Below are 9,730 nucleotides of genomic sequence, written 5' to 3'. Positions count from 1 at the left end.
CCTGTGCTGGGTCACCAGCAGCTACCATCTTGAACTGGGGACAGACACCTCCATGTCCTGGGCCAAGGTATATGGAACATGTCTGCCAGCCTTTCCTGTCCCCACACCTGCCTCAGGCCCCCACTGGGCAGGAAGATGGCCAAGGTTGCTGGGAGAGAGGGGAAAAGGGAAGCCAAATGGGACATGGTGCCAGGGAACAGGGGAGCCAGCACCAGAGGAGGCATCCCAGGGAGGCAGCAGCAGAAGGACCACAGGGGGCCAAGCAAGCCCCTGTGCATGCTGCACGGTTCCATGAGCTTTCACTCACAAAACACAGGTCCTAAACGACAATCATTACGAATTGCAGGCCTGCAACCACACGGCATGAAACCCCTGTGCTGTTGCAGTGGTTACATGGCCAAAAGGCTGACCCTGCTGTTTACCATGACAGATCCACTTTCTCCTCCAGGAAGGAACTGTGAATCTCACCACAATGCCCTGGGTGCCTGCCTCTCCCTCTATGTGCCAACTAATAAATATTTGGAACTTTTGCAAGCCAATTGTTGTCCTATTGATGGCTCGAAATTGGCCGTTTCTTCTTCCCTTCAAAGTGGTTCCCTTTCAAGGTCTTGTTCATCCACCTAAAGACATGGCTGGCCCCTGGGACAGATGAATGTGGCCAAGTCTGAAAAAGGGAACAATCTTCCAAAAGCAAGGCTGAGAGGGGCAAACGGAGCCCAACTCTCCAAGGTCCCAGCCCCTACAAGAGTGCAGCTGTCCCTAGGAGCCTCCCACATTGCAGAGTCAGCCTGGGCAGCTGGGAGATGGAATGACCATCCCCTTGGTACTATCTGGTTTGTCCTGTGCGTCCCTCCTGGCTGTACATTGTCTCCTACAACCCTCCCCGCTACCCCCTCTCCCCAGTGCTCATTCCCAGGCTGGGAGTTGACTTCCTTGTTGTCAGAGTCTCCACGGAGCTCTGAGGGGTCGTGAGAGTGGCCACTGCATAAAGAGGGAGGAGCGGGGAGAGGAGGTGGCAAAGCTCCATGGGTCCGGCCACTTAGCAACTAGGTCTTGGGCTCGATAAAATGGCTTGGCAACAAGCTGATGATTTCTTCCAGTTTAATTTTGTGAGCTAAAACCCTGACTCAGATTTCCTTCTCAACTGCCCTCCCCAGCTCACGTATGAGACCAGTTGCTATTTGTTCTGTAAAAGAACACCCTGGGTAACGTTTGAAACGATGGGAAATGCCTCAAGGAATAACAACTGCACAGATACTGTCGCCCCTCCCTACCAGGCCCTGGCTGGGAGTAAATGCCGGCTCCTGGGAGCACTCAGGTAGGCTGCCTTCCCTGGGAAGCCCAGCAGGGCCTCTGGAAAAGTGGTTCCCACAGACAGCCCCCTGCCTGGTCCCTGAAGGAGCTGGGCCTCACCCTTGGGCCTGGAGCCCAACAGAGGAGTCAAAGACAGCCCTGCTATTCCTTTGAGAAGCAAAAAGGAATCTTCTCGACATAAGCTGCTTTGACTTTGCAGTTCTCAGGTTTCAGAGGCTGTGCAGGCCAAGTGTACCTGACTCGGGTTAGCAGGAGCAGCGGGCCCTCAGGTGAGGCCTCAGGCTCCCTGATGTGTCCCCCCGTCCTCCTCACAGGCTGGCTGTGTGGTTTGACAAGACAGCAGAGGCTGTGGAAAGGAAGGGACAGGGAGCTTGTGCACGCTCTTCCTTCCACCAGCCAGCTCCGGGCAGAGCCAGTGCCCCAGGCACCTTTCCAAGGCAACTGTGCAAACATATTCACTTCAGATCAACCTTCTGTCTGCAAAATCCAGCCTGTAAACTGGCCCTGCACCCTACAAGAGGCACGGGGATTTGCTGCTTGTTTTTACTCATGGGTCTTGTAAGTTCTCCCTTTAGTGAAGGGAGAACTTCCAGAGACCGTCATGCTTGATCACACATTGGCCAGCACTCATAAAACTGTATCATGTTTACTTAAACTATTTTTTTTTTTTTTTTGAGACAGGGTCTCACTCTGTCACCCAGGCTGGAGTGCAGTGGAACCATCATAGCTCACTGCAGCCTTGAACTCCTGGACTCAAGCAATCCTCCCCCCGGGTATCCCAAAGGGCTGGGACTACAAATGTGAGTCACCACGCCCTGCGCAAGCTATTCTTCTTTGCATGAATCCATAAGCAATCTTATTTTAAGGGGAGGGATTGTATCTTATTGACCACTGTATCTACAGTGCTTAGAATATGCTAGATGCTCAGTCAAGGTTTGTTGTGAACTAAAATAATAATGCTATTATTTTAGCATTATTATTTTAATAATAATAAGGAAAATAATAATAAGGGAAAGAGGAAAAAAGAGAAATATGTGGACTTTAGTGTAAAAACTATTTTGAGTCGAATTCTGCTATGTGTCTTTAGACAAATTGCTTAACCTTTCAGAGCTACTGGCCCTTCATTGGTAAAGTTTATATAATCATATAAAATTCATGATGTTCTGCTGAGGATGAAATTAGAGACTGTATTTCAAATGTCTGGCCAGTTGTAAGAGCTCATTGGGTATAATTTCCCAGCAGGCTCATAGCTTTTATTTGAGTCTCTTAGGATCATTGTGTTAACATTGTCGGGGCGGTGGGCGGGAAAGGAAGGCTGACTCACTCCTTTTCCATTTGGCAATGAAGATCAGTGAAAGCTCAGTGAAGCCAAAGGTCACAGAAAAATGGTGTGATTAGAACACAATATCCATTGTATTCTAAGTGCCTAGGCCTGGGCTGGGTATTCTGGAGAATACAGAGGTAAACCAACTTGTGAACTGACCTTCTCTGTTGGTTTCTACTTTGCTGCACTAGTGGGTTTGCGCCTCTATGACCCCAGGCTTGGCTCTGATCCTCACTCCGGATCTTGCTCCTGATCTCTGGAGTGGTAGAAATAATCCAGCCCACACGTTTTAACTTGAATGGATTTCTGTAAGTGACTGCATCTCTTTGATCTGAGGCTCCTGTCTGCAAGGTAGGTATAGTCATAATAATTTCACCCATTGGCCAGGGCTGATGTTGGATTAGGTCACCTCCAACACCACCTTGGACTCCCTCACTAGGTGTTGTGCTGGTGTGTGAACATTATAACCAAAGACGTGGCATCCCCCGTCTATGGGCTCCCCTCCTGGTCTCCACCCCAGCTCCGTTTCCTGTTCACCATTTTTGGCTCTGATCTATGACCTCTGCTAGCAAAGCAGCACATTTCTAATTTGGCAGGGGCTGCTGTTCGTGTCCTTTTCTCTGCCCAGGACAAGAACGATGTAATTGGAACCACCAATGGCAGACACAGAAAGAAAACAGGATTGACAAGCTGGCACCATGTGAGCCCATGAGAGCCAAACCATGGCAAGGGGATTGCAGAGAGTCAGATTCTCCACTGAGCCCTGCCCCGGCAGGAAGGCAAGCTCCAGTCAAGGGTGGAACAAGGTGACGCCCACGTTCAGCCATAGGAAGCTCGCACATCTCCTGCCACCAGCCACGACAGCCCCCGTCCTGCACAGGCAGGCCCGAATCTTGGGAAACACAATGGCTGCCGCCATCACAGTTATAGATATTCACAGGTCTCAGAGAAGGTGAGATTCACGGAATTCACATCCCAGCTCTACCATCTACTGGTGTGTACTATGGGCCCCAGTTTCCACATCACTAACCTGGGATCATAATTGCCTGATTCATAGAATCCCTATGAGAATTAAAAAAGAATGTATTTGAAATGCTTAGTTTTGTACCCTGTACAAGCAGAGTAAGTAATAAATGGTAGCTGTTACTCTTACCCCAGCTGTGGCTGATGACATTAACATAATAATTTTTTTCTTTTTTTTTGAGACGGAGTCTCGCTCTGTCGCCCAGGCTGGAGTGCAATGGCACGATCTTGGATCACTGCAACCTCTGTCTCCCAGGTTCAAGCAGTTCTCTGCCTCAGCCTCCCAAGTAGCTGGGATTACAGGCACCTGCCACCAACACCCGGCTAATTTTTATATTTTTAGTAGAGACGGGATTTCACCTCTTGGCCAGGCTGGTCTTGAACTCCTGACCTCGTGATCCACCTGCCTCGGCCTCCCAAAGTGCTGGGATGAGAGATGTGAGCCACCACACCCGGCCAACATAAGAAATCGTACTCACATGTTCCCTGTGGCAGAGACTACTGGTTGTCCACATCAACAACCATTCTCTCCTTCCTCCTAAGTGACAGAGCCCTAATTGGACTTGGTGGACAAGGTGCTCAGCTAAAAGATTATCTCCAACGTTCTCTTGTTGTTAGTTGTGGCCAATGAGACATAAATAGAAAGAGTGGACCACCTGGGAGAAGAGGGTACCTTTGTTCTTGCCACTCCTCCTGCTGCCCAGGGCACCCTGCTGATGGCCAGAGCTGCGGTGACTTCCCTGGAAGATGGGAACGAGGGTCGCAAGCTCTGGATAGAAGAGGAGTCTGGGGGCTGGTGGATTTCCTGGAACCATGATTGCTCTGCACTTCTGGCCACGATAATTGCTTTTTTACATGGGGGAGAAAGAAGTCTTATTGTGTTATTTAAGCTTATCTGAGATTTTCTGTCTTGTACAGCCCAAATGCAATCCTAGCTGACACGATAACGGATATTTAGCAGGGAGTGGAGAGCCCAGGGAAGAATACTGTGATGCTGATGGGGAATATTGATGGTAAGTGCTAAAAACAAGACTTGCCTCCTTGTGGTAGGACTGGCCCCATGGAAGATACCCGTGTTTCATGTTTTTACATCATCAGACTCCCAGTTTGCAGATAGTGGCACGTGGTGACACCTCCTCACTGTGTGATCCAGGGGCCTTCCCTGATGTGGTCCTGGATGTTTCTGTACTGATGGCCTCACTCCCCTGGCTGCTTGGCTCTGTACTGGGATTTTCATCTCAGGTAATTGCATACTTCTTGCTTAAGATTCTCACCTCCAAATTTGGATTTCCTTGGGAAAGTAAAGTAGTTTCTGGGGAACCAGCCTGGGAGCCCATATTTTATAACAGTGTTCTTAGGGAAAACTGTATTTTGAGCTACAAAATACCTAAAAACCACCTTGTAGAACTGGATCTGTGAGATGACAAAGGCTAAAATAATCTTCATATTGCACTGTGCTAATGTTGGCCCTCTCTTTAGATAATGGGGCTGTGTATATAAAAAATGTGTCTGTCAGAGGTTCTTGAAGACACACAGCCTCCCCGGGATAGGCTCCAAATCCACAGTGGCTGGAGATGGAGATTTTATTCCAGTGTCTCTCTCTTGTACCCTCAGAAAGCCATACTTGGGGAGAGTGATGAGGATTTACTCCCTGGGACAGTGGGAATCGGTGTGATTCTGCGACATCTTCACCTAAGAAACCATACATTGCAATCAGTTTCCCAATTTTTCTTTCTTAGGATGTGTGAAACCAGCCTGAAGACAGTTCTTGTAAAAATGTCCTTGAAACCATGAAATTGGCGCAAGACCGATCAGAACTGAGATAGGAAAGTCACTCAAAGAACTCGAAAGCCTACCAGGCCAGAAAGGGTGGTCTACGACTTAATTGGTTGTATCAACCCATGTAAGCAAGGACTATGTCCTTCAGAAATGGATGAACGAGAATGGAAAGCTGGAGGAAGGAGAGACAGTCACACATGGGCAGTGCTCATCAGGAAGGGCTCTGCTTGGCAACAGTGCGTCTGATCCACCTGTCAGGTATATCCTTATTTTGAAGGTGAGACTTCCTGGGATTTTGGAGACTGATGCTAAACTCTGAGCTCCAAGAAAGCAGGAACAATGTATCTAACTTGTTCACAGGGCCTCATGCAATGTAGGTATTTGATGAGTGTTTGTGGAATGAACTCATTGACTCTTTTAACATTCAAATCTTTCATATATGCATATAAATACAGAAGTTATGTATTGTATGAATCCCTTGTGTCTTTTTATTCTGTATTTTTGATGCTTTGACATCTGGGGTTCTTGCTGATCCTGGAGGGACTGCCCCTTTTAGGGTTCGTCAATTTCTGGGGATAGATAACAACTCACCCACAATCATGCCTTTCAAATACAAACCAACCCATCCAGAGCCCACACTCCCAACCACCCCCTCTGTGGGGCTCTCACACTGTGGACCACTATCCCCTACCCTAATCATCCCAGGGCCAGGTACCAGACAACCAGGAACAGCTCCTACAACCCAGAGTCCTGAAATATTCAAACTAGCCCATCCTAAGCCAGCTTACGTTGTCTTACCCTCTCCTTCCCTTGGAAACAACAATAAAGGCTCCCGCTCACACTTCCCTCCTTCCTGCTCTGCTTTCGGACCGACCCTGGTGCTTCCCGCTTGGCCCTGCGTGCTGTGTTTCCTGTTTCTAAGGACCTGTGAGTATGAACTTTTTCCTTCATGACAGTCATTTCCATTTCTGTGTGTCTCACCATCCCTAAGTAAAACAAATCCCAGGTTCCCTTAAAACATAGCTCTCTGTTCTCTAGTTCCATTCCCTCCAAAAGGCATTTCCGTATTTAGCTCCCCATATAGCTTGCCCACAGGGAGGGAAAGTGTCAGGCCGATGTGAACATCTGGTCCACCTGACAGTTAAATTTCTCATTCTAAAAAAAAAAGAAAAGAAAAAGAAAACACCGTTCTTATTTTCTAGTGAGTTTTGCTAGGGTGAGTCAACATCACCAGTCCAAAGGGCTTTTGGTCCCTGAAGCAGCAAGATGGGGGCCAGACTTCAGATGGTGGTCAACTGGCCCATTCACCAGCCCAATAGCACTTTGAGGGGACTAGTCTGCATGACTGCCTGCCTGCCCCTGTCCTCTCTGCCTGGATGTGGCCTTTCCTCTACACCAGGGTTTGGATCTGATTGATGCACAGAAGCCAGTTCCTGCTGTTTCCTCTGTATGTCCAGAGCTGTGTGTGCCTGAGACACAGGCAGACGCCCAGGCACCCAGGGAGAAGCCAGCCTGGGAACCAGACTCTTGCACCTGGAAGTTGCTCCAGCTGACATTTCCAAATGAAAGTCTGACTAGCAGGAAAAACCTCAGACACGCAGATGTCCCCAGAACAGTCACTCTTTCCAGAGAAGAGCAATGAAAGGACTTAGAAATCCAGAGCCAGAACGGAAGCTGACCACGGCTCTCCACTGGCCCCTGTGTCGCGGAAGGCCCTTTTGTCTTCCAGCAACAACATCAAGGCCAACCCTGGGCCAGAGGCAACGTGCGATCTCCCCAGGTGACTGGAAAGCTTCTCCCCCAGGCTGTGCAGCACAAACTGGAGACTCAAAACAGAAGCTACTTTGTCTCTGCGATGAGTCAATGCTGTCGTCAGTGGGGCGCAGTAATGGAGTCACTGGGTAAAGTCATGGAGCGTCGAAGGACAGGGTGCCCCCTGCAGAAAGTCTAGGGGGAGGGAGCCATCCGCCCTGTACCAACTGACACCCCAGCCCACCTCCTGTCCCGCCCCGGCCTCCACCTGCAGTCACACTTCTGCCCCGATGTCCACCCTTACTAGCAGGTGGTCTTGGAAGCCCCCTTCTGAGTTCCACTGTCCCTGTGAAGCTGGCCTACGGCCCAGCCCCCATGCCCCCCGCCGCGGCTGTAGGTTCACTTGCAGCAGCCTGGGTGCACCTAAACAAAGATCTGCGGCCATTTGGAGAAGCTGCTCATCCCACAGAGAGGCCTGTCAGAGCTTGGATAAAGACGAGTCAAAAGTTTCCATAGGCCAGGGACCTTCAGACCAATCAATTAAAAGGGGTAAACGGGGGCACCGAGGAGCGGGGGCCTGAGAGAATTTGACAGCTCATCTAAATCTTGGCAGTCAGTCAAAACTAGCATCACAAAGGAAAAATAGATGCTCAAGTCGAGACCAAACATCTGAGAATCAACTGCATCCAAATCACCTTCAGTCATTGTGAGTGCAGACTCCCCAGCGCACCCCAGGTGGCTGACTCCAAGCATCCCGCGGGTGACGAAAAGGTGGGAATCTGCAGGTTGAACCAACTCCAGGGTGTTCTTAGACCCTCAAGATTGGCTGCTGAACAGAGGGAAGCTCATTTTTGGGCTTTGATGAAGTGAAAGGAGGGGCTGGGGTGTACAAGGTAAGTGATCTGGAATTCAGAAGGCTTGAACTCATGCCTGCCTCTGTCCTGTCCTGTTTTTGTCCTTTCTGCTCTGCCTCCAAGGGCTTTGGGTTCCTCGGCCAACAGGCGCATGCTCTGAGGACCGCCCCTCGCCCTGGGCTTCTGCTCCACTGCGGCTCTGAGCAGATGGTTTCTGGTCAACTATTTTTGCAAGTGTCATGTACTATTTATTATCAGAGCAATGCTTGCACGCATCATAATTCCTAGATTGGGCCCTAATTGTAAGTGTGTCCTGCTGAAGCTATCACACAACGACCACATACTCCCTCGATAGGCTCATCAACTTGCTCATGTGGAGAGATTACAACAAACAAAAAGATGAGCAGGGAGGAAAGTATAATCAAATTGTCGTGTCAGGGTGAAAAATGATGGCTGAGTTGTGACACTGTCTCGATTTCAAAAAACACCAAAGATACACGTATTTATTCAAGATCCTTTCTTCACAAAATGTTGGTTTGTGTTTTGATGATCACATTTCCCTGGTTACAAAAGAGCAAAGAACTAGACTTGCTATGAGAGTCTTGATAGAAGACAGTTTGCTTTTGAGGAATTAGATAATGGATGCCCAGAAGATTCTATTTAGAATGACAGTTGTGCGTCACATAACGTTTTGGTCAGTGATGGACCCCGTATATGATGATGGTTCTATAAGATTGTAATACCATATTTTTACTGTACCTTACCTATGTTTAGATACACAAATACCATTGTGCTACAATTGCCTGCAGTATTCCGTACAGTAATGTGCTGCAAAGATGTGTAGCTTAGGAGCAATAGGCTGTACCACACAGCCTAGGTGTGCATCAGCTTATACCATCTTGGCTTGGGCAAGTACACTCTATGATGCTCACACAGTAACAGAATCACTTAATGATACATCTCTCAGAATATATTCTTGTCATTAAGTGATGCGTGACTGTGCTCCAGACGTTGGCCTTCAGCATTTTCCCCATTTAGAGTCCTGACGTCTCCATTTGGATGTCTGTGAGTCGTTTACGTACTGGATGGCACACTGAAGTCACTACCTTTCTCCAGTGCTATGGCTCTCCATTTCCATAAATATGTCTTGCAAAGAATCACCTCTCATACTCCCTTCCATATAATCACAGAGTCTTCTAATTCTGCCTAAAATAGACTTAAAATGTGTCAGTTTCTTTCCAAATCTGCTGCCCAACTTTCCCACTCTAGTCCAAATTGCCACGGTCTGTCTTTTGGAGTTTAAAGGTACTTCCTACCTGGTTTCTCCCCATTCACTCTTCCTTTCCCCTGACCTACTGTCTATAGAGCAGACGGAGTAATTTATTTTATTTTTATTTTTTTTAAGACAGCATCTCACTCTGTTGCCCAGGCTGGAGTGAAGTGGCACGATCTTGGCTCACTGCAACCTCCACCCCCGGGTTCAGGTGGTTTTCTTGCCTCAGCCTCCCCCAATAGCTGGGATTACAGGTGTGGATCACCATACCTGGCTAACCGTTTTTTTTGTATTTTGTTTGGTAGAGACGGGCTTTCTCCATGTTGCCCAGGCTGGTCTTGAACTCTTAGCTCAAGTGATCCTTTCGCCTTGGCCTCCCAAAGTGCCAGAATTAAAGGTGTGAGCCACCAC

The 9,730-nt window shown here is 48.5% G+C and overlaps 1 long non-coding RNA gene across 1 annotated transcript, besides 1 other annotated feature; it reads left to right on the top strand.

Annotated features, from left to right (window-relative positions):
• Positions 216-717: an enhancer, noted in NCBI's record as "H3K4me1 hESC enhancer chr1:232515217-232515718 (GRCh37/hg19 assembly coordinates)". NCBI's record gives its function as "activates a minimal SCP1, AML or CMV promoter by ChIP-STARR-seq in naive H9 embryonic stem cells {active_cell/tissue: H9 hESC(naive)}" and the evidence as "EXISTENCE:reporter gene assay evidence [ECO:0000049][PMID:30033119]".
• On the top strand, positions 2,078-5,610 carry LOC105373198 (uncharacterized). The gene is made up of 6 exons (XR_949274.2): positions 2,078-2,114; positions 2,830-2,989; positions 3,267-3,590; positions 4,580-4,674; positions 4,760-4,903; positions 5,401-5,610. It is a non-coding gene; the product is annotated as an uncharacterized LOC105373198 (long non-coding RNA).
• The last annotated feature ends 4,120 nt before the right edge of the window (positions 5,611-9,730 follow it).

The sequence above is a fragment of the Homo sapiens genome, chromosome 1 (assembly GCF_000001405.40).
Source record: "Homo sapiens chromosome 1, GRCh38.p14 Primary Assembly".
Classification (NCBI taxonomy): domain Eukaryota; kingdom Metazoa; phylum Chordata; class Mammalia; order Primates; family Hominidae; genus Homo; species Homo sapiens.
The sequence above is the reverse complement of the archived record's forward strand: the minus strand, read 5'-3'. Positions and strand labels throughout refer to the sequence as shown.